This window comes from Homo sapiens, chromosome 16, assembly GCF_000001405.40.
Source record: "Homo sapiens chromosome 16, GRCh38.p14 Primary Assembly".
Taxonomy (NCBI): domain Eukaryota; kingdom Metazoa; phylum Chordata; class Mammalia; order Primates; family Hominidae; genus Homo; species Homo sapiens.
This window is the reverse complement of record NC_000016.10, coordinates 88,114,296-88,139,017: the sequence shown is the minus strand read 5'-3', so window position 1 is coordinate 88,139,017 and position 24,722 is coordinate 88,114,296. Positions and strand designations below refer to the sequence as shown.

Below are 24,722 nucleotides of genomic sequence, written 5' to 3'. Positions count from 1 at the left end.
ATGTCTGTGTGTTTACATTGGGACAGGGTCCCCCCTGTCAGCACAGCCTAGCGTTTCACCAGAGGCCTCCCTCTAGCATTTTCCAGGCAGCCGAATGGTGAATAGCCGAATAGCTGTGCTTACGCTGCTTATTTCTTTTTCTTGTCTTATTCCTTTGGCGATGACCTCAGATACAACATAGAAAAGTAGCAGCAAGGCCAACACCCTTGTTTTGCTACTGACTTTAGTGGAAATGCTTTAAATGTGTTTCCATTAGGAATAATATCCTATGCAAGTTTATGAAGTTAAGAAGGCTGCTTTTTATGTCTAGTTTACTGAAATCAGGAAGAGGTGAATTTGGTCACATGGCATTTTGAATGGATTTAGAGGTTAATCTGGTGATGGCTTGTTATGTTCCTTTGCAGAACCAACCTTTCATGACTCTAAATGTCCCTTTTATTCAGACACTGCCACATAAAGTTTACTAATATTGTGTCTAGGGGCAGATTCCTTTTAAAAAGATGACTTTTCTACTATTCAATCAGGCTTATGTAGAATGAAGATGAAAATTAGGAGGTTTATGTGTTATGTTATTCCAAGAAGTAAGGAAGCTGGGGCTAGGACTCTGTGTAATCATCCCTTGACAACCCGCTGGGCGCTCCCAGGCAGGCACATCCCCTGCCAAGACTTTGGTGTGGCATTTGGGAAAGTGGGCTGAGGGCAGGGGAGGGGCCGATCCCAGCACTAGGACATGGTTTAAACGGGATTGTGATTACAAGACAAACAACAGTGAACTCTTGCCAGTGAGTAATGATTCACCAACTACTACAAAATTATGGCTGAGTTTGGAATAGTAAAGTCCCTGCTCTTGGATGCCAAAAGAGTCCATGGAACATTCTAGAATGTGATAGTTTCAACACACCTTGATAGTTTGTGTGTCTGATTCCACAGTTCTGCTGTCCATGTCACAGACACTGAGTGAGATGGGCACTCCCTTGGACCGGGAGTGGTGGAATGCTCCGTGATGGGGTGAAGGCCACACCAGCAACTCTCCAGGCTCTGTTGTTGCTTTAACCCGGCTCTATCGTCTTGGGCAAGACAGCACCCCTAGAGCTTTCCAATCCCATCTTCCTCTTCCCACCCTCTGTCTCCCTGGGCTAGCCATGGTCTCCCAGCCAAATCTGCAAACCCAGGGCTCTGCACCTCACATTGCTCCCTGAGCCTTGACCATGCCTCGTATCAAACATCTTTCTCCTCCTCAGTTGTAAAGAAGCTCTTCCTCTAAAGACTACAATAACCCCTTGGCTGTCTTTCCCTTCCCTCTTGCAATGAGTTACCATGGCTCATAGCATAGTTATACACACACAGTTACAGGCACACATGGTGGTATGCATACATAGCTGTGCACACACCGTGGTGGTATGCACGCATAGCTGTATTCATGCACAGTTGTATGCATGTATAGCTGTATACATGCATGGCGGTATGCACATATAGCTGACACATGTGGTTGCATGCATGTGTGGAGTATGCACACACGGTCATATGTGCACATAATTGTATACATGCATGATTGCATGCATGCATAGCTGCACACACACGGTTGCATGCACATATAGCTGTCACACACTTGGTTGTATGTACACAACCGCACACATGGTGGTATGCACATATGACTGTTTACAGTTACAGACGGCTGTATGCATGCATAGCTGTACACAGGCTTGGTGGTATGTACGCACAGCTGTATGCACACATGGTCATACACACACATGGTTTTACACATACATGGCTCTATGCATGTGTGGTGGTATACATGCATAGCTGTATGCATATGTAGTTGTATGCTCACATAGCTGTATGCACACATGGTTGTATGCACACGTGGTTATTGCATGCACGGTTGTATGTGCACATGGCTGTATGCACACATGACTTGCACATGCATGGTTGCACACACATGGTGCTTGTGTGGTGGTATGCTCACATAGCCATATGCACACATGGTTGTATGCACACATGGCTATACGCACACACAACTGTACATGCACATGGCTGTATGCATCCATAGTTACATACATGCATGTCTGCCCAAGGATGCTGAGATCTTTGAGTGTGGAGGACAGAACTTATCTTTGCATCCTCCCCTCCCAGTGGCCAGGCTCAGGACAAAGCCCTCCACAGTCATCACTCAGGTACAAACTGCACCGACCTGAGCTCTCACCCAGGCCCTGCCCTGTACTGGGCACGCTCGGTACATGAGAATCGTCTAATCTTCTCCACAAAGAAGGCAGAGCTGGCAGGATGGCAGCTGGGGACAGACTCGTAACAGGCATGAGGCAATCTCTGGATGAGATGAGCCATCAGACGTCCATCGTTCAGGCTCCAGGCCTCCTCTTTGAGTAATTAGCAAAATGTCAACGGGCCCCCACGGGCGGGGCCCACGCTACATCTGCTAGCTAGGTTTATTTGTGAAGGGCACACAATACAGCAAGTGCTGCTGACCAGGAGCACACAACTCATGCATCTAAATGGTCAACCAGGCCTGGGGTTACGAATAGCCAGAAATAGACCCTGCTGCCGCCATCTGGACCCAGCCTCCTGGCCAAGCCGGAGACGGCTGCAACACGCCATCCTCAAAGCTCAGGACAGCTGCATGCCTTGAACATGTCTCTGCTTTATCCCAGCAATCTGAGTTAACAAAATGAAAATCAGCGTTGTGAGAAGGACATCTGTGCCTGTAGGGCGGGCCAGATGGGATGAGGAGGAGGAGGGCAGGGGCCAGGCTGGAAGACAACACTGGAGGTGGCTCTATCCTCACAGCCTCCCCCACGCAGAGGAACCTGACTTAACAGCAGTGCCTTGAATTTCACAGCACCTCTGGCACTGCTGTCCAGCTGCACGTTCATAGGTCCAGGGACTAGGACGTGGACAACTGGGGGACCTTTGTCCAGCTGAACACATAGAATAAAACATGGCTGGCCGGGCGCGGTGGCTCACGCCTGTAATCCCAGCACTTTGGGAGGCGAAGGTGGGTGGATCACGAGGTCAGGAGATCAAGACCATCCTGGCTAACACAGTGAAACCCCGTCTCTACTAAAATACAAAAAATTAGCCGGGCGTGTTGGCCGGCGCCTGTAGTGCCAGCTACTCGGGAGGCTGAGGCAGGAGAATGGCGTGAACCCGGGAGACGGAGGTTGCAGTGAGCCGAGATCAAACCACTGCACTCCAGCTTGGGCGACAGAGCGAGACTCCATCCCAAAAAAAAAAAAAAAAAAAAAAAAAAAAAACATGGCCAGCTTCACAGTGAGATCCCTGAAGACAGATCTGTGCCTGTGGATCACCGGTCCCAGCACCAAGCCGCTGTTGCTGAGGAACCGAATGCCCAGGAAAGAGGGGCCCCGGGTGTGGGTGCTCCTCCGGGTGTGAGTGCTCCCCTGGCTGTGGGTGCTCCTCACCAACAGCTAACGTGCGGGGCCTTCCTGTGCCCCAGCCAAGGTGACACGAACACCCCAAGTTTTCACCCCTCAGGCACCCATGAGATGGCCCCTGCCCGGGAAGCAGCCACGGGCTGGCACTGTTGGCCCAGATCGACCCTGGCCAACCTCGTCCATCTGGAGTCAGCCCCATCTGGCGGTGTCACTGACAACAGAGTCAACCAGCCCCAAATTCTCCCCAACAGATGACTTCTCAGTGAGCCTGGAATTCCAAACATTGAGCAGTAGAACAAAGCAGACGACAAATGATGTGTGCCAGAGAGGATTCCTCGGGGGAGACTGGGCTCGGCCAAGAGGCCTTGTGAGATAAAGGAGGGGAGAAATGAGGACACTGAAGATTTACAGAGACGATTCCTTCATAGCCCTGCCCCACGGAATGCTCGGGTCCGCAGGCCAATAGGCTTCTGTTCCAGACGCCAGCAGGGAGTGCCCATTCTTCCCAGGTGGTCAGGAGCCCCTTCTGCCCGGGGCCTCGCCCTGGCTTCATCGGTGAGGCAGGCACATGGGGGTGGACTGACCCCTGTCCAGGAGCTGCCTGCAGGGAGGAGCGGCCTGGGGACTTTCTTTTGAAACAAGATGAAAACTCTGATGAAATGAATCAGTTAACAGAGAGAAAAATGGCAATGGGTATATGGCAAGGAGTAAATATCCTCCATATAGAAAGAGCTCTTATAAATCATTGAGGAAAAGACAAATCCGTTTAAAATTTTAAAATAATATACACTGGCAATCAGCCAAAGAAAAAATGCAAACAGCTGTCCATCCTAACTCACAATCCATGACACCAGCTTGCTCGAGGCCCAGGCCACCTGCCAGACGGCAGGGATTTACACGCGTGGCAACACCCTGCTGTCAGGGTGAGGAGGCGGGCACACCCACACGGGGTCGGCAGATGGAAATGGATGCCGCTTTTTAGGAGCTACTTGGACATCCGCCTGGCTTTTAAATGTGCTTATTCTTGATTCTGTAATTCCACCTCCAGGAACTTACTCTAAATAACTAATAGATACATATGCAAAGATGGATAAGTGGAGACATGCATTGCAACACGGCTCATTGCAGAAAGTAACCACACGGAATGATCTAGACCCATCCATAAGGGGTTTGTGAAATGGATGGTGGTGCAACCACGCAGACCTCTCCGTCCTCCTCACTGTGTCCCCAGCTCCCAGCACATGGTTCCAGCACACAGCACGTGGTTCGTAAACGTTTGCCCAAAGAGTGAGTACAACAGTGCACCGTGCAGCCATGAAAAGGAACAAAGCAGTGTGTCCCGACGCAGAAGGATGGCCCCAAAATACCACCGGGTAGAAAAAGTGGTCATAAAGCTAAATGCCAAGGGCAGCCCATTTAGATGACAATACATTCAGAAAGATGATACTCTAAACCTAAGTACTGGGATCACTATGATGATTCCATTCATTCATTCATTCATTCATTCATTGAGACAGAGACTCGCTCTGTTGCCCAGGCTGGAGTGCAGTGGCACAATCTCAGCTCGCAGCAGCCTCCACCTCCGGGGGGGTTCTATTGATTGTCCTGCCTCAGCCTCTCGAGTAGCTGGGATGACAGGCGCCCACCACCATGCTCAGCTAATTTTTTGTATTTTTAGTAGAGACAGGGTTTCACCATGTTGGCCAGGCTGGTCTCGAACTCCTGACCTCAGGTGATCCACCCGCCTCGGCCTCCCACAGTGCTGGGATTACAGGCGTGAGCCACTGTGTCCGGCTGATGTTTCCGTTTTTATGCATAATGTACAATCAGAAAGCCAGGTCGAGGTATTTCCAATATTCAAAACACAAGAATTTTATAACTTTAATATCCTATGAATGTTAAGTTAGTTAATTAATTTAATAATTATTTGATTTTATTTATATTTATTTCATTATTTTATTTATAATTTATTTTATTAATCTATTGATTTATTAAAATTATTGAATGATTTGATTTATTGCTTGAATGATTGAACTTATTGGTTAAATCTGTTGGTTTTATTTATTTTTAATAATACATTTAATACATACATTATTAAATTAAATCTTCCTGTGAGAATCCGCGTCAGGCCTGGACTCAGAGCCCCAGGCGGCGTCTGCCATTCCCACCATCTGTGTGAGCTGCGGTTTCCTCAGCCCTTCCCTGACAGGCCCCAGGGGCTGCTTGACAGGGAGGGTTGCAGAGCAAAGATGAATCCTCTGTGCAAAAGACGTTCTCGAGCTGCCAAGCGCTGGGAATGTGCGGGATCGCCAGCAGTAATGATTTGACCGTGGGAATCATCAGAAGTAACCCTTTATTCTTAGGCCGTCAGAAACAATACCAAGGACGAGGGCGGAAGGAGCCCTGGCAGGGCCCTGTTTCAGTGCCCGCCTTCCCGAGTGAGGTGCTGTGGCCGGTACGCTGCAGCACAGCTGGTGGGTGATGTTGATCGCAGGCAGTGCTCTCCCGCAAAGCTACGGTGCACAAGAAGGGCAGCCCCCCGGCCCCCAACCTGTGTGTGGTGACCCTCCCATGGGAGCTGCCCACGGGTCTCCTGGCATCTCTCCCAGCATGCCCACCGCACCTGTGCCTACCTGGAGTGGCACGCCTTGGCTCTGTGAGCCCTTCACCTGTGGTGGTCAGCTCGGGGGTCCACAGTGCTGCCCAAGGCAGCTGCTCTGTGCAGGGCCCTCAGCTGACCTGTTTATGTCCAAATTCGCTTCACCCTCCTGTAACTGATGCTGTGCGGAGGCCTCCACCTCTGACTTCACTAAAGAGGAAGCGTGGGCTGACATGGCAGAGGGCCACTGCCCCAGGACACTCAGCCAGGTGCACAGCCACCAAGCCCAGGAGAGCCGCACTTATGTCTCCATTTAGTTTGAAAACTTGAATCTGCTCTCGTAAGATGAAAGTTTGTCACCACCGAGAGCACAGGAAAGAATGTGATATGGATTCTTTGAACAATTCTGAAAATGTTTTCCTGACGGTAGCAGAGCTGGGGCCAGCGTGTGTCTCCAAGACCCCGGGTTGTGTGAGTTCAGATGAGTTTGTGACACTGGACGGCCACGTGTTGTTGGGAAAGGCTCAGTCTCTCGAGCCCCATGGAGCTGGAGAGATGGGGCCAGTCACAGATCCAGCCCCGCCGGCTACGCGGCGCTCTGGGTGGGCTGAGCACCCAGGAGGGAGCGATGGGGATGATGGAGCTGCAGCCTCTCTTCTGGGCAGCCAGTCACCGCGGGGAGCCGAAGGCCAGGGCATGGGGAGGACAGAGAGAGCGTCCGTCCCCGAGCACCGAGTGACTGGGATCACTTCCTGGGTGCAGGAAGGCGGGCGTCGGAGGCCGAAAGCAACCTCCCCGTCCTGGGTAGGGGTGGGGGCCTGGCGCTGTGGCATGACCCCAAGTGCAGCCTGAGGCACCTGAAGCCATCGGTATGGCCGGGGCCACAGACAGCGATGTCCACACATGGAGAGGAGAGTGGCCACGAAGCATCGGAACTCCAGGCCGTGATTCAAAGCCGATGGAGAGGCTGGGAGTGCCGTCCTGCCGCTGCCCAGCTTCCCACGGGCGGAGCATCGCTGCCCTGTCTTCAGCAGCCCCGGAGATGCGCGGGCCGGGCAGGAGCCATTAGAGGCTGGCAAGGCAGCATCCCACCCAGAGCGGGCAGGTGGGCGCGGGCAGGTGGGCGCCCCAAGCCACCCACCAGGAGGGGAATTCCCCACCAGGAGGTCACAGAGCTGACCCCAAAGCACAGCCGTGTCCCAGGGCAGCATCTAGGCAACAGCCAAACCCGTCCCTGACCCCATCCCTGGACAGAGTGTCCACCAAAGACATGCAGTGGACGCCGTGTGGCCAGGTCAGCCCCTGCCTTCTGCGAGCGGCCCCTCCCTGCACTGGCACGTGGGGTCCAGGAGCGCCCCAGCCTGCCTCGCCTCACAGGATGCCCAAGCCCAAGGGGCATTCGGTATTGTTTTCAGAAATGGGGAAACATAAGACCTTCTCTGCCTGACTATGAGAGACCCGGTGAAGGGGTGGTTTAGGAGAAGGCCTGGGCCCCCGGGAAGGCAGCGCCGAGAGGTTCTAACAACAGGCCACGGGAAGGGAAAGCCGAGAGGTTCTAACAAACAGGCCCCGGGAAGGGAAAGCCGAGAGGTTCTAACAAACAGGCCCCGGGAAGGGAAAGCCGAGAGGTTCTAACAAACAGGCCGGCCCCTCTGCATCCAGACAGGTGTCACAAGGGCTTAGGCGACACACCAGCCTTGGTATTGTTTTGACTTCTTTTGTTTCGTTTTTCATTTTTTTCAACAGTCCCTGGCTGAGAAAAGCAGTCACTTTTGAAATTTATTCAACGGGGTGTGATTCTGCGCCTTACTCGACACGGAATGGCCCAGACAGCCGGTTCTGCCGCACGTTTGTTTTGAAAATGCCAACTGGTTCCAAAGCAATTGATTTCCAGGAGACGATCTGAACATGATGCAAATTTGTGTTTACCTTTGTGCAATTTCACCCGCCAGAAATGCCAGGCGAACGCCGCGCTGCCCGCCGTGGAACCGAGCCACGCAGGAACAGGAGAAGCACACGCCCCTCGCACCCCCGTCCCCGGCTGCCCGGGCACCTCGTCCTCATCGGGACGCCACTTCCGCCTGTCTCTGCCGACACCCCGCGGCCACTTCACACCCCCACTCCGCGGGGCCTTCCCACGCGCCCGCCATCCCAGGCAGCGTCGTTTCCCAGCGCCGGTGCTGCGCTGAGACCAGCCGAGGTAACATCTGTATTGCTGTCTTCGTGTGTCTGAACCACTGAGTGCGTGGGAGGCTGCGCTGCCGTTTTTATTAGGTGCCTCTTTTTTTTTTTTTTTTTTTTTGACACAGAGTTTCACTCTTGTGGCCCAGGCTGGAGTGCAATGGCGCGATCTCGGCTCACTGCAACCTCTGCCTCCCAGGTCCAAGTGATTCTCCTACCTCAGCCTCCCGAGTAGCTGGGACTACAGGCACCTGCCACCACGCCCAGCTAATTTTTGTATCGTTAGTAGAGACGGGGTTTCACCATATTGGCCAGGCTGGTCTCGAACTCCTGACCTCAGGTGATCCGCCCGCCTCGGCCTCCACTCCCTTTGTAACCTGGTGCCGGTGAAGTCCTTGAGTGCTGCACCCTTGGCTTCCTTTCCCCACACGCCCTGTGGTTTTTAACTGTGCCATTCTGCCTGCGTGGTGGTTTCTAGGGACGCCGATATCACGTTTTGGCAGAACTGACTATACCGGCTGTCTGCGGCGTGCGGTTTGTCCAGAGCATACAGCGAGACCTCTCTGAAGACCCCCAGATGGCCTCGACCCCGGCTTTTGAGGGAGGGCTGGACAGCTTGGCCTCCCGTTTCCTGCGCACGCACCCCGATGCTGCAAGCTGCCATCTGGGAAGCTTGGCATTCGGGTTAGACACAAACAGCGCCCGATGGTAATGGTCCTTGAGCCCAACTCTGCCGACCCACGCATTCGGTTTAGTCCTCTTAAAGCAGATCTAGAAATGGTTTTTCACTGAAGAGAAAACTACAGAAACTTCTGCCACCACAGGACCAGGACTTGATCACAAGCAAGAAAAGCTGAGTCTGAAACTGGTAACTTTTCCAAACCAAAGACCAAAGCATGCCAGGATTCCCTCGGAGGGGCTTCGGTGGCTGGTGTGGCAATAGCCTTCTTTTTCTTTTTTTCTCTTTTAGACAGAGTCTCGCTCTGTGGCCCAGGCTGCTGAAGTGCAATGGCACGATCTTGGCTCATTACAGCCTTGATCTGGACTGAAGTGATCCTCCCACCGCAGCCCTCCTGAGTAGCTGAGACTGCAGGCGTGCGCCACCACATCTGGCTTTTTATATTTTTTTGTATTCTTAGTAGGGATGGGGTCTCCCATGTTGCCTAGGCTGGTCTCAAAATCTTGGGCTCAAGTAATCCTCCTGCCTCAGCCTCCCAAAGTGCTGGGATTATAGGCATGAACCACCACTCCCAGGCAGCTTCAATTTAACAAAAATATATTTATCACCTACTGAATTCCAAGTACTGTGTTGAAAGAGGGTAGGACCCCAGATTAAGAAACAGATATTTGCATAAATCAATGCAATGCAATATAGAACTTGTAGCAAAAAAAACGGTATGTGCAAAGTACGGAAGCAGAGGACAATGAGTTCTGTCTTCTCGGCTCCACAGATTCCAAGGAAGAACAGAGGCAGTGGCAAGACTCACCGAGGACCTCCTGCCCGCCAGACCCCGCCGAGAGGCTGCCGTGATGGCTCACCAGAGGCCGAGACGACCCTAAGGCTAACCCCACTTTAAGATGAGGAGCCTGAGGCTCGTGTTAGTTTGGTTCCTGGCATGACGCTGTGGCAGGGCTGGGGAGCTCACCTCTCTGACCCAGAGCTCACGGGGATGAGCTCCAGTTGGAATGAATGAGGCAGGTACTTTTTGATAGTTGGAGTTTAACGCTTTATCACTGCATTACCGATTGTTTCTCTTAACTCATTTTACGTATTCTTCTCCACTTAATGCTGTACCTGTAAGCACAGCGCCATCATTCAACGCAAACATGCGTATTTCACACATTCCCAGTGTGCTGCATTTTCCAGTCATCGAAGGTTCTCTCCATTCTTGGTCATTCCTGTGAGCCAGGAGCTTTCTCAGCAGCGGCAGATGCTGGCGAGGGGAGTTCCTGCCCTGCGCTCTGCTCTGCCCACCTGCCTGCCTGTCAGATCCTCCCGGCCCAGGTGAGCAGAGCCCCTGGGATGCTCTGTCTGGACTATCCCAGGAAGCTTAGCAGAGGCCTGGAGGGGCTGGGAGGGCCCCAGCTCTTGCCCAGGCAGCTTGGGGAACCCACAGCCTAGAGGGGTTTACGTGACCAAAGCGTCATGGGGAGCAGGCTCAGGGGCAAAGGGAGACCTGGGTCGGGGGAGAGAAGCCCCTGCCTCTGCGGGAGGGGGTCTCTTGTCTGAGCTGTGGGCTTTCACACCCACAAAGGGAGTGCCCACACCTTTGCTTAGGAGCTCAGGCCCTTCCAGGTGGAGCACCCTCTAAGCAAAGTGTAAAGTGTTCTGAACCACAATGGTGCCACTTCATGGAGGATCGATTGTATTTGAGGGTTGGAGGGTGAGAACAGCAAAAAATAATAATTCAACCAGTTGGTTATTATGAACATCATTTTCATATTTTAAAAAATATGCTATATCATGGAATTCAATGTAAAACCTCAAGAGACGCCATCCTTGGAGAGGGCTGCACCAGCCTGTGCCCCAAGTTACCCAGGATCACCCCCTACTTCTCCTGACAGCCCCCCGAGAAAGGCCTGCATTCTGGGCGACGTGGCCCTCAGGGGCTCAACCCTTGGCCTCGAGAGGGGCCACCCATCCTCAGCGGCTCAGGCATCTGTGCTGGTGCCGTCTCGCCATCTGGGTCACCCAACAGCTGCCATCCTCTGCCCTTCTCCCAGGGCCCAGGGAGTAATTCCCACAGAATTCACACAGACTAGAGGCCGGTGGGCTGAGACCTAAACGGGCACAGCCCCTCCTGTGCAGAACCCTTGGCCTACACTCACTGCTGTGGCCGCCGGCACAGGCAAGCCTCGTGCCTGTGTGTCCTGGAGCTTGGTTCTGGGGAGGCGTTTTGGGAATAAACTCTTTGATCTTCACTGTTGGGCTGGTCCTTCACAGTCTCCCTCACTTAACTGAGGTGAGGAGACAGCAAAACCCTCTGGAAATTTGGAGTAGGTGTTGCTTCAAGAAATGGAGTTTTCCTTCTAAACACAGTTCCTGTTGTCACCAAATCCAACCTTCTTCATCTCAAATACAGAATTCAGATGGAAAGGAGGCCACCCCACCCTCAGCCCAGTGCTCAACTCACACAGCGGCTCCCAAGGTAGAGGTGAGACAGGGCAGCCCCAGGCCCTCCCTGCCGCCTCCAGCACTGACGACGCTCATCACACCAGCCTTTCCACTCTCAACAAATGGTTTCGCCGTATCTGAATACCGCCCTCCTCCTCCCGCCCCAGAATGCTGTTCACTTATCTTTCTTTAAACAAATCTTCTCATAAGCTGCAATGCAAGTATTGAGAAATCAAACTTGATATTACTACTGTAAAGGAAAAATCAGAGTCAACTGACCAAATAGAAAGTCGCCATAAAAATGAAAGCAGTGAAATCAAGGCGATAATATTCTATTCTAGCGAGATCCTGGAAGCCAGGGATTCGTTGCTGAATTCTATTAGACATTTAAGGAAGAGAATGACGTCAAACTCATACAAACTTCTTCAGAAAGTGAAGGAGGAGGGACTGTTTTCCCATCTGTGTTATGAGGCCTGTGACGCGGACAACGCTGGAAAGAACCTGCAGGCAACAGCAGAGCAAGGCCCTCGTGAGCACGGCAACATTCCTCAACAAAAATGAGCAAATCCATCCCAGAAAACATGAAACTGGGCCGGGCGTGGTGGCTCACACCTGTAATCCCAGCACTGTGGGAGGCCGAGGCGGACGGATCACCTGAGGTCAGGAGTTCGAGACCAGCCTGGCCAACATGGTGAATGAAACCTCGTCTCTACTAAAAATACAAAAATAGCCGGGCGTGGTGGCGTGTGACTGTAATCCCAGCTACTCGGGAGGCTGAGGCAGAAGAATCACTTGAACCCGGGGGACAGAGGTTGCAGTAAGCCGAGATCGCCCCACTGCACTCCAGCCTGGCCAATATGGCAAAACCCCATCTCTACCAAAAACACAAGAATTAGCGGGGTATGGTGGTGCATGCCTATAATCCCAGCTACTCAGGAGGCTGAGGCAGGAGAATTGCTTGAACCCGGGGGACAGACGTTGCAGTGAGCCGAGATCGAGCCACTGCACTCCAGCCTGGGTTACAGAGCAAGACTTTGTCTCAAAAAAAACAAAAAACAAAAAACATATTATCGCCAAGTGAGATTCATCCCAAAAATGCAGAGTTGGCATTCACAAATCAATCAACACAATTCACTATATAAGCAGAATAAGGAGAAAAACAATAAGATCATTGTGGAAGATGCAGTAAAGGCTTTGGCAAAACTCAACATCCAGTTATGATTAAAATCTCCAAGCACAACTGGGATAGGAAATAACTTCCTCAACTGATAAAGAACATCTCTGTAAAGTCTAGAGCTAACATCATCCTTAATGGTGAAATACGAGACGTTTCCCCCAAGGCCAGGATGTCTCCACACATCACTTCTATCTCACATTGTACTAGGTTCCAGCCAGTACAGTAAAGACAGAAACAAACAATAAAAAGCATGCAGGAGAGGAAGAAATAAAACTGCATTATCTACAGACAATGCAAACATCTACTTCGATAATCCCAAAGAATTTTTTTTTTTTTTTTTTTTTTTTGGGATGGAGTCTCACTCTGTCACCCAGGCTGGAGTGCAACGGTGCAATCTCGGCTCACTGCAACCTCTGCCTCCCAGGTTCAAGCAATTCTCCTGTCTCAGCCTCTTCAGTAGCTGGGATTACAGGCACCCACCACCACTCCCAGCTAATTTTTTATATTTTAGTAAAGACGGGGTTTCACCATGTTGCCCAGGCTCGTCTCAAACTCCTGAGCTCAGGCAATCCACCCGCATTGGCCTCCCAAAGTGCTAGGATTATAGGCGTGAGCCACTGCGCCCAACCGGAACTTTTTAAAAAGTTACTAGAACTAGAACTAAGCAGGGTCTCAGGATAAAGGCCAGTATGCAAATATTAACAGTATTTCTGTCTATAAGCACAAGCAATTGGAAATTTAAATTTTTAAAAAATACCATTTGCAAAAAAATAAAATATCATTTGCAAGTGAATCATAAAATTCTTAGGGATAAATTTAACAAAATATGAGCTACTATACTCTGATTTCTCTTCAGATCATATAAATCCTTCTCCTTTTACAAAGTATGAGCTAGACCTGATAGTGAAAACTATAAAATGCTACTGAGAGAAATTAAAGGAGATCTAAATAAAAAGAGAGGCAAACTATGTTCATGGATTGGATTACTCGATAGAGTTAAGATGGCAACCCTTCCCAAATCGGCCAATAGATTTAACTCATTCCAGTTCAAGCCATGCAGGCTATTTTTGTAGAAACCGACATGCTGATTCTCAAAGTTATATGGCTTCATAGAATGACTTAGGGAGGATTCCCTCTTTCTCCGTCTTTTGGAATAGTTTCAATAGGATTGGTACCAATTCTTCTTTGAATTTCTGAAATGCAAAGGATCTATAATAGCTAAAATAATTTTGAAAAGAACAAATTTAGAAGACATACTATCTTAAGATATAGTATAAAACCACAAGACAGCATGCCAGTGTAAAGATAGATGTGTAGATCAATGAAAGAAGTCCAGAAATAGACCCACACATAAATGGTCAATTTTCAACAAAGTGCTAAAGCAATTCTGTGAGGAAAGAACATTCTTCTCAACAAATGGTGCTGGCACAACTGCAAATTCATATGGAAAAATATGAACCCCACCTCACAGCACACACAAAGTATCTTGAAATGGAGCATAGATCTAATTATAAAAGCTTAATCTAGAAAACTTCTGGAAGAAAACATAGGAAAAATTATTCATGACCCTGAGATAGACAAATTTTTTTGGATAGGACACAAAAAGTATTTTAAAAAGACTGATAAATTAAACATCGAAAACTTCTATTCTTGGCCGGGCGCAGTGGCTCACGCCTGTAATCCCAGCACTTTGGAACACTGAGACGGGTGGATCACCTGAGGTCGGGAGATCAAGACCAACCTGGCCAATATGGAGAAACCCCGTCTCTACTAAAAATACAAAATTAGCCAGGTGTGGTGGTGCATGCCTGTAATCCCACCTACTCGGGAGACTGAGGCAGGAGAATCGCTTGAACCCGGGAGGCAGAGGTTGCAGTGAGCCTAGATCGTGCCATTGCACTCCAGCCTGGGCAACAAGAGCAAAACTCCATCTCAAAAAAAAACCAAAAACAAACAAACAGAAAACACTTCTATTATTCCAAACACATGATTAAGAAATTAAAAAGGAAATCAGCCTGGGCATGGTGGCTCATGCCTGTGATCCCAGCACTTTGGGAAGTTGAGGCTGGTGGATTGCTTGAGCCTGGTTCAAAACCAGCATGGGCAACATGGTGAGGCCCTGTCTCCACAAAAAATACAAAAATTAGCAGGGTGTGATGGCATGTGCCTGAAGTCCCAGCTACTCAGGAGGCTGAGGTGGGAGGAGCCCAGAAGGTGGAGGCTGCAGTGAGCCATGATTGCACCACTGCACTCCAGCCTGGGTGACAGAGTGAGACTTTGTCTCAAAAAATAAATAAAATAAAAATAAAAAACAAGTCACAGACTGGGAGAAAATTCTGGTCAAACAGATACCTGATAAAGGACTTGCATCCAGACCACAATCAAAAGCTTTTGAAACTCAACACAAACATCCCCATAAAAATGAGTGAAACTGGCTGGGTGCGTTGGCTCATGCCTGTGATCCCAGCACTTTGGGAGGCCGAGGCAGCTGGTTCACCTGAGTTCAGGAGTTCGAGACCAGCCTGACCAAGATGGAGAAACCCCGTCTCTACTAAAAATAGAAAATTAGCTGGGCGTGGTGGCACATGCCTGTAATCCCAGCTACTTGGGAGGCTGAGACAGGAGAATCGCTTGAACCTGGGAGACGGAGTTTGCAGTTAGCCGACACTGCTCCATTGCACTCCAGCCTGGGCAACAAGAGTGAAACTCCATCTCAAAATTTAAAAAAGAGTCAAATATCTGAATAGACACTTCATCACAGATTGCAAAGAGGTATAGGAAAAGATTCTCAAAATCATTAGTCACTAGAAAATGAAAAAACTAGAAAAATAAAAAATAAAATTATAATACGCAACCCATCCCTACATCTACTGGGGGGGACGACCCCTTTGGCAAGGGTTTGGCGCTGCTGATAAAGTCACACATATACTCACCACGTGGCCCCGCAATTATCCTCCTAGGCCCTCACCCAAGAGAAATGAAAACCCAGGCACACACCAAGACTTGCTGTTAATATCCACGGCAGTTTATTCCTAACAACAGCCCAAAATTAAAAACAGCCCAAATCTTCATCCACGGCAGTTTATTCCTAACAACAGCCCAAAATTGAAAACAGCCCAAATCTTCATCGACAGGTGCACATGCAAACAAACCGCAGTATATCCAAAAATGAAGCACTGCTCAACAATAAAAGGAATGACCTTCTGAGAGGCAACACTGCATGGATAAACCTCGATGCTCCGCTGGGTGAAAGAACAGACACACAGCCAGTGCATGCTGCCCGACTCCATGGACACGAAACCCTGGAAAACCGTCTCATCCAAGCAAGGGAAAGCAGACGGGTTGGGGCATACAAGGGGTGGAGCAGGGCCTTTCCAGGTGATGGGTAGTCTCGGGATGGTGCTGGCTATGTGAGTGCAAAAATGTGTCCATACTCGCCAGCATATGCCATTCAAACCACTAAAATCATTTAGCAAAAATAAATAAATAAAAGTGATAGCCAACAAAGAGGCAATCTGAGTATCAAAAATATAACAATTGCAGCTGGACCCAATGGCGGGCACCTGTAGTCCCAGCTATTCTGGAGGATCACTTGAACCCAGGAGGACAAGGCTGTAGTAAGCTATGATTGCACCACTGCACTCCAGCCTGGGGGACAGAGTGAGACGCCATCTCTAAAATATATATTTATACACACACACACATATATACACAGAGTTAAGCATATATATACATATATATACACATATATATACACACAGAGCTAAGAATATATACCTAAAGTATATTTATGTACACACACATAAAACTGTGGCAGACTAAAGCATACAAATATGTGTACAAATCCTCCAGCTCCTGACCAAACTGACTGTGTTTGCCTTTTGGAGGTTGCCGGCTCACACAGGGTAAATGCTTGACCTTCTTATTTTATTGACCAACTATCCAAGTGGCTGCCGTGGCCGTAGTGAGTGACAGAGTGCCATCTGAGTGGCTGCCGTGGCCATAGCAAGTGACAGAGTGTGATCTGAGTGGCCGCCGTGGCCATAGCGAGTGACGGGAATGTGATCAGAGTGGCTGCCGTGGCCGTAGCGAGTGACGGAGTGTGATCCGAGTGGCCGCCATGGCTGTAGTGAGTGACGGGATGTGATCTGAGTGACTGCTGTGGCCATAGTGGGTGATGGAGTGTGATCCGAGTGGCTGCCGTGGCCACACCAAGTGACAGAGTGTGATCCAAGGGGCCATCGTGGCCGTAGCAAGTGATGGGGTGTGATCAGAGTGGCTGCCGTGGCTGTAGCGAGTGACAGGTTGCGATCACAGTGGCTGCCGTGGCCCTATTGAGTGACGGGATGCAATCCGAGTGGTTGCCGTGGCCATACCGAGTGACGGGGTGTGATCTGAGTGGCCACTGTGGCCACAGTGAGTGACAGAGTGTGATCCGAGGGGCTGCCGAGGCCGCAGCAAGTGACAGGGTGCGATCAGAGTGGCCGCCGTGGCCGTAGTGAGTGACAGAGTGTGATCCGAGTGGCCGCCGTGGCCGTAGCGAGTGACGGAGTGTCTACACTGTTTATTTGGCTTCTGTGGAAGTTTGGCAAAAGGAAGAGGAATCACTTTGATGAGAGGACAGGGACGCACCATCTCTGTACGCGTTACCACGAGCCTCTGTTCTAGTGGCCAGTGAGTAAAAAAGAAGCGTATTTTGACAAATAAATTCCTAATCATAAACAGTAAACTTCAGCAAACCCAGGACCTAGTGGGCGAGTATTTGCACAGTTATATCAGAACTCTGCAGTGCGGCCTGCAACCTCCTGGCCAATTTAGGATTAGGAAGGCAGGGCTTAAAAGTCACTGAACAACAGACAAAATGATATATGATTCCTTAGGTCATTGGAATAAATTATAGATAAGCTTAAATATGTATGGAATTTTGCCTACTCAACTCTCACAGTGGCCCAGGGCCGGATTTCAGCCTGTGAGCCGGGGTTGTGACGTGACAGCCAGACTTCAAGGGCCCATCTGGCCAAGGCTGAGCTCTCTTCAAGGTCAATTTTGTTTCTTTGCGAACGTTTCATTCTGGAAGTTCACTGAGCCAGCCCCTCCGATGGCCAGAATCGATACTGAAATGTTCGGCTCATGACACAGCGCTGGCGACAGCGGCTTAGTTTCTCTCTTTAACTCTATGTTTTTATGTTTGGTTGGTTTTTGTTTCGAGTTTTAATAATAGGGTGAACTCCTCGGAGGGTTTGGACAAGGACCAAAGTCAGTGTAAGGAGAGCACCAAGTACAGCGCCCCCACCCCCCAACCTCCCCCCCTTCACCATGCATGGTACACAGTGGGTGCCAAGTGCAACACCCCCCCAACCCCCACCCCACAATGCATGGTACATAGCGGGTGCCTCATGCAGCGCCCCCCTCCCGACCCCCCATCCCACCGTGCATGGTACACAGCAGGTGCCTCATGCAGCACCCACCAGCACCCCACCCCACTGTGCACAGTACATAGCGGGTGCCTCGTGCCATCCCAGTGAAGGAGAGGGTGCAAAACACCCCACACCTATGGTGAGGCCTTTCTAGAACCTCACCCAACGCCTGCGGCCAAGAAACGCCGCATGGCTGAGGACCAAGAAACCACACGGCCTCCCACCCTCGGGTGAGGTCAGGCGGCTCCAGTGGACGCAGCCAGCCGGGGCTCACACCTGGATTCTAACTGCCCTCGACACGGGCGTCTCCTCCGGGATTCATACGAGACGCCGTCGACAAGCTCTGTCCTCCGAGTTCCATTTTCCAGCCAGTGTTCCCGGGGCTCAGGCCTTCCACCGTGCTGGGAGCTGCCACGTGTCCTGACGTGTCCCGGTGCAGTGAGGCCCGCCCGGGAGCCGCGGTGACCCAGGCGTTCTGGTGGGTCTGCATGCTCCGTGGACAGGGCGGCTCCGTCCCTGGTTGAGGGCTCTCGCCTCCCTGCTGCGGCCGTGGAGCTCACGCTGCGGGTCCAGCATCCGGCCGCCTGCAACTGCCCAGTCCAGGTGACCGTCACAGTAACACCACCCACGTCCTCCAGCTGCCTGTGTTCTCCGAGGTGGGGCGCGCCATCTCCGCTGTTTCCCAGCCCTCTGGCTAATGCGTCCCGCCGGCCCGATGACATCACTCCGGGAAATGAGCACCAAGCTCCGATGGAGGAATTAGTTTATCATCTGCCATTTCTGTAACACACACATGCAGCAGAAGGCAGGGGCCTGGGCCTCCTGCAAGGACCCCAGAGAAAGCAAGTGTCACGAGGCTCTGCTGAGGCAGGCAGTGGCTCCCCTGGGCCCAGGGCTGCCCCTGAAGATTGCTCTCCTCCTCGGCAACCACGGGGCAGTTCTGCGCTCCCTGGAAGCCGGGAAGCTGGAGAATGGCTCAGGGGCGATGCCTCCCCCTCCACGGGACACGTCCACCCACCCTGGCCTCAGCACACTCTACCCGGTGCAGCCTCCACCCTCCCAGGCGGACTTGGGGGCCCCTTGGTTGTGTGTGGTTCCCCATCCCATTCTCAGAAGACAGTGCTCCCCTCACAGCACGCACGGCGGCGGCAGAGAGACCCAACACCAGGACCCCACGGGCCAGGACTCCACAGACGGCTCTCGCTTTGCAAATGTGGTCTGACTGAACCATCCTGTCCCAAGCAGTGGGCAGGACAAAAACCAGATGTCCCCATCTCTTCCCTAACCCCACTCCCTACGACACGCTCCCAGTTAACCAAGACCAGGCTTCAGGGAGCTGGGCAAAACCTTATCAGTCTGCCGTTGACTTCCCAGCGGAGAACCAGGAGAGGCAGCCACCTGGGAACAGCCCAGTCCCACACATCCAGAGCTGGGCCGGCCAGCATCCACCCAAACGGCTGGACCCGGTAGGGAAAAGCTTCCGGCACCTGTGTCTCCACCCCATCCTCTGCGTAAAACACATCCAGGCTGCCGGCCCCGTGACCCAGGAGCAGGTGTTGTTCATCAGTGCATGTGGAGCGAGGCATTCTGACGAAAACTTTGGTATTTGGTTGCTTTGAGCAATTGGCTTGGAAGGAAAATTGGTGACCAAGAAGAATGCTGAGTTGCTCCCAGCCGTGCAAGGTTATTCTCATCAGGGTCACTTAATAATGACAAACACCCGGCACAGATGGGCCCCGCACGTGCACCACAGGCTGCGGACGGCCAGGCTTCTGCACTGAGGGATGTGGCTTTAAGGAAGAGTGCGGGGATGAAGCGAGGGAGGGAGATAAACCTGTAGGAGATCATGAAATAGTGAATTTCAGACCCGCTTCCCAGGGTGCCCAGAGCTAACCGTGAGACCGCCTCGGCTGATACAAAGAAGCTTGTAGAAGACATTTCTTCACTTACTATCTTTCTTTTCAAGCTCACAACTCCTCAAGGACTGGACAAACGTTATTTTCATTCCACAGATGGCAAAACAAGCCCAAGAGTTACGAGTTGTCAGGGAAAATTGCAAAAGACTTTGAAACGAGCAAAAACAAACAGTGACTCAGTTCCTGCCTAGCGCCCTGCCTCTCATTGTCTTGGGGCTATTTTACAACTTTGTAAATCCTAGAAAAGTGAGAGCAGTGGAAACACAAGTGAACTGCATCTCCGTGGAATGCAGCCGATGACCACCTGGGGATAAAGCAGCTCGGCATCTATTTGTAAACTCATCTCAGCATTCTCTATTGCTTATCCGTGTGGTTCTCTGAATTCTCTCCCAAATGCCGGAAACATCTTACTGGTGCCTGCATTAGTTAATGAGTTAAATAAAGTCTTTGACATGTATGTATTCTGTATTTGTGAGTCAGAATTGTATCTTCTTTTAAAAGCAGTCCTTTGACAACAGGGCCCCTCTGCTAAGGAAGCCGTAGAGTCGGGAATCTGAGCCTGGATCAGCGCACTCTGAAGGGAAGAAAACAGGAAGATGAGACTCCAGGAGCACCCGGGGTGTGCCTGACCCCTGCGCGCCATCACCCTCCTTCTGCAGAGGCGGAGGTGACAGGTGAGCTGACACAGAAAGCAGAGAGTCAGCCCAAATGGTAGACATTGCTCCCACGGTTCTCTGGGCCCACGGCGGGCAGGACCAGGTCGAGCAGCTGAGACTCTTGTGCCTCCTTTGCTGACACCGGCCCCATCCAAAGGGCTCCCGTCCTCAGGGTGGGGCTATGGAGAGCCCGTGAAAAAACTCAAAAGGCTCCACCAGAACACTGCGAAGAATTCTAAAAAGAACTTAGAAGAAATGTACAGTCTTTAAAAGCTGCGAGGCAAGATTTCAATGAAAAGATAGGAGCCGGGTGCAGTGGTTCACGCCTGTAATCCCAGCACTTTGGGAGGCTGAGACGGGCAGATCACCTGAGGTCAGGAGTTTGAGAGCAGCCTGGCCAACATGGCAAAACCCCGTCTCTACTAAAAATACAAAAATTAGCCAGGTGTGGTGGCGGGAGCCTGTAGTCCCAGCTACTGGGGAGGCTGAGTCAGGGGAATGGTGTGAATCCAGGAGGCGGAGGTTGCGGTGAGATGAGATCGTGCCACTGCACTCCAGCCTGGGCGACAGAGCGAGACTCCGTCTCAAAAAAACAAAGAAATAAAATCACAGTATGGCGCCTCCCCTCGTGCTCCTCCTCCTGCTCTGCTGACGGGCGCAGTGTGTGGAGCCTCCCTTTGCCATAGCTGCCTCTGACGACACGGCGGCCTCCCACCTTCACACAGCTTCCCTCACAGTCACTCCGACAGGTCCACCTCCCAGGTCACTTGCACACGACCGGGGCTCCAAGAAACTGGGTCCCAGCAACAGTGCGGCAGCATCAAGCCCTTCCCCAGGAAAAGCCCCTCTTCCACGGTCCCCGAAGACACGTGGCACCTCCACGGTTTGTGAAGACACGTGGCACTTTCCCACGGTCCATGAAGACACGTGGCACCTCCACGGTCCCCGAAGGCACGTGGCACCTCCACGGTCCGTGAAGGCACGTGACACTTCCACAGGTATAAACTGGCCTGAGTCTCAGAGGCCCAGCCCTCCCCAGGGTCTTCTAGGCAGTCAGTGGCTGAGTATTCAGAGACCTGAATTGTCTCTCCAAGTAAAAAAAGATCAAAGGGACAAAACAGGAATTTGCAGTGATTTTTTCTTCATTTTTTTCTTTTTGTAAAAAAACTTTTATTTTTGAAACAATTATAGATGCACAGGAAATTGCAGAGAAAGGCAGAGAGAGCCACACGCATCTGTCCTGGCTCTCACGCATCCCCAGCCCTCACATGCCCCCAGCTCTCACACGTCCCCGGCTCTCACACGTCCCCAGCTCTCACACGACCCCAGCTCTCACGTGTCCCCGGCCCTCACACATCCCCGGCCCTCACATGCCCCCAGTTCTCACACGTCCCCAGCTCTCACATATCCCTGGCCCTCACGCATCCCTGACTCTCACTCCCACCCAGCCACACCCTTCAGAGCATCAGGCGTGCCAACACAGCAGCACGCCAAGCCATCAGCCTGGCATGACCCACAGGGCCGGTTCAGATTCTCGTAGCTCTGCATGCCCTGGTGTGTGTGTGTGTGTGTGTGTGTGTGTGTGTGTGTGCACGCATGCACTTCAGGCAAGGACATTTTATCACACGTGTAGATTCGTGTAACTGCCACCACCACCAAAGCACTAACCATTCCCCTCATCACAGGCTGCCTCCAGCTGCCCCCCTGCGGCCCCTACTCCCCCGACCCACAGTCCCCAGCCCTGGCAAACCACCAACCTGTTCTCAGTCTCTGGTTTGATGACGCCAGTTCCATAAACAGCGTCATGGCATGTACAGGCTTTTTGAGGTCGGCTTTTCCCACTCGGCAGAATTCTCTGGAGATGGTCCAAGTTGCTGTGTGCAGCTGGTCTGTTTGTTTTCACGGCTGAGTAGCGTTCCGTGGTGTGGCCATTCGTGTGTCCACTGAAGGACGCTTGGGTTGTCTCCACGTTCTGCCTGTTACAAATGCAGCTGCACGGTTTTTGGCATGAAGATACGTCTTCATTTCTTTGGAATAAACGCCCCAAGAGTGTCATTGTGGGGTTGTACATTAGTCGGGTGTTTACTTTTGGGTGAAACTGTCAAGCTGGTGTTTACAGTGGCCATGCCATTTGCATTCCTGCCAGCAATGGAGGTCCAGGTCCTGTGTCTACACTGCGGCATTGCGGCATCGCTGGTTCTGGAGGTCCAGGCCCTGTGTCTACACCGCAACATCACCGGTTCTGTGCTGGCCGTCCTCATGGGGGTGTGGCAATCCCTGCCTGTGGTCTCAGTGCGTTTCCCGACAGCTGCTGGCAAGGAGCACCTGCCATGCCCTGATTGGCCGTCTGCATCCTCTTCATGGAAGAGCACCCCCCACATCTTGCCCATTCTCACATCGGCTTGTTTTTTCACGGTTGAGTTTTGAGAGTTCTCTATACAGTCTGGACCCCAGGGCTCTAGTCGGGCATGTGTGTTAGTGAATACTTTCCCCGCTCTGCAGTTTCTCTTTCCATCCTCATCAAAGAGCCTTTCCCAGAGCGCACACTTTTCACCTGAGATGGGGAGGCCACCCTGGATGACCAGGTATCCTTACACGAGGGAGATGGGCGGGGCAGGGTTTGCCCCCAAAGACGAAGAGACCACATGAGGATAAAGGCAGAGATGAGAGCAATGTGGCCACAAGCCCAGGAATACCTGGAGTGCCCAGGAGCTGGGAGAGGCTGGAAGGGCCCAGAGCCTCTGGAAGGAATACAGCTAGAAGGACCCAGAGCCTCCGGAGGGAGTATGGCTGGAAGGACCCAGAGCCCCCAGAAGGAGTACGGCTGGAAGGACCCAGAGCCCCCAGAGGGAGTACAGATGGAAGGGCCCAGAGCCTCCAGAGGGAGTACGGCTCGGCGGGCCTCTTGATTTCCCTTCTGGTCTCCAGAACTAGAGTTAGGAAGTCCAGGAACACACAGGGCCCTGGCACCTTTCTCTTTCCACACCACCGTCCTGGACGGTGCATATTTTTAGCGGAGCCCATGGCCATCCCAGATAAACCAGGGTCAACTCAGGAGGGAAAGCGGGAGGGGACCGGGTCATGTGCACTGTGCAAGGCTGACATGAGCTGGAGGGGTGCACGGCGGTGACCCCCGAGCTTCTCCAGAGGAGCAACCTTGGCTGATCAGCCGGGACATATGAGCGTCACACATGTACTTGTCTTCCTAAAGCTTTTTATAATGTGTTTTTCTGATTATGAAAATAATATATATCTATTGCAGATCAGAAATGGCAGCAATGCATAAAATAATCCAGCCCCTTGAAAATAAACACAGTGGCTGTTTTTGGTGTGCTTCCTGCCACGTTTCCCCTTTGTGCACTAAGGTTTAGTTTAAGTTTAATTAAATGGAATCACACCCTGAATGCGCAGAGCCCGGCACAGACCAGGCAGCATGGTTAAGACAGGCTGGGCAGGGGCAGAACCACCTGCGTTTCCCTGCGGAGCCACCGTTCACTGCCCTGCGACCTGGAGGGTTGGTGGTTGTTTTTTAAGTCACCTCTGGGTTCTGCTTCCCCGGCCCCAGAAGCATCGTCTCCATGAGAGGCCACAGCAAGAGAAAGGCGGCTGAAATTTTTTACAGACTGAGAAGACATTTTCGCCCTGGCCTGTTTCCAGTGCCCACTTCCTCCCAAAGCAATGGTGTCCAAGAATTCTCAGTGCGGCAGCCACAAGGAACCAGGTTTGCTGGGCTTGTAGGTGGAGAAGGGGAGGCACCTCTTCCCCAACAGCCCCTCTGAGCTCCCTGCCCCTCTGTGGGCCCAGCAAGCCGACTCACCGCACACACAGCTGCATCTGGGGGCCAGGCCCGCCTTCACCAGGCTGCAGAGAGGCTCAGACAGGGTCCCAGACGCCCAGGGCAACACTTGCAGAAGCTGGAGGCACGGAGGAGAATGCAGTACCAGAACCACGGCTCCGTCTACCCCAGCTCATGGCCTGGGAAGTCAGCTGGGCACCGCGCGTTCCCTGATCCAATCTCACCTCAGACTCCGCAGTGAGTGTGGTCCCTGTCATTCCCCAACCCGGAGACCCCCGCAGTCAGTGAGTGTGGTCCCTGTCATTCTCCCCGGAGACCCCCGCAGTGAGTGTGGTCCCTGTCATTCCCCACCCCAGAGACCCCCACAGTGAGTGAGTGTGGTCCCTGTCATTCTCCCCTGAGACCCCCGCAGTCAGTGAGTGTGGTCCCTGTCATTCCCCCCGAAGACCCCCGCA

General features: G+C 51.9%; 1 protein-coding gene across 1 annotated transcript in view, besides 1 other annotated feature; it reads right to left on the bottom strand.

Annotated features, from left to right (window-relative positions):
• ZNF469 (zinc finger protein 469) overlaps positions 1-24,722 on the bottom strand; it is a 339,823-nt gene that overhangs the window by 301,736 nt on the left and 13,365 nt on the right. The window lies entirely within an intron of this gene.
• Positions 21,128-22,327: an enhancer, noted in NCBI's record as "BRD4-independent group 4 enhancer chr16:88150297-88151496 (GRCh37/hg19 assembly coordinates)". NCBI's record gives its function as "activates an origin of replication core promoter dependent on BRD2, P300/CBP, MED14 and CDK7 cofactors, and independent of BRD4, by STARR-seq in HCT116 cells {active_cell/tissue: HCT116}" and the evidence as "EXISTENCE:reporter gene assay evidence [ECO:0000049][PMID:35650434]".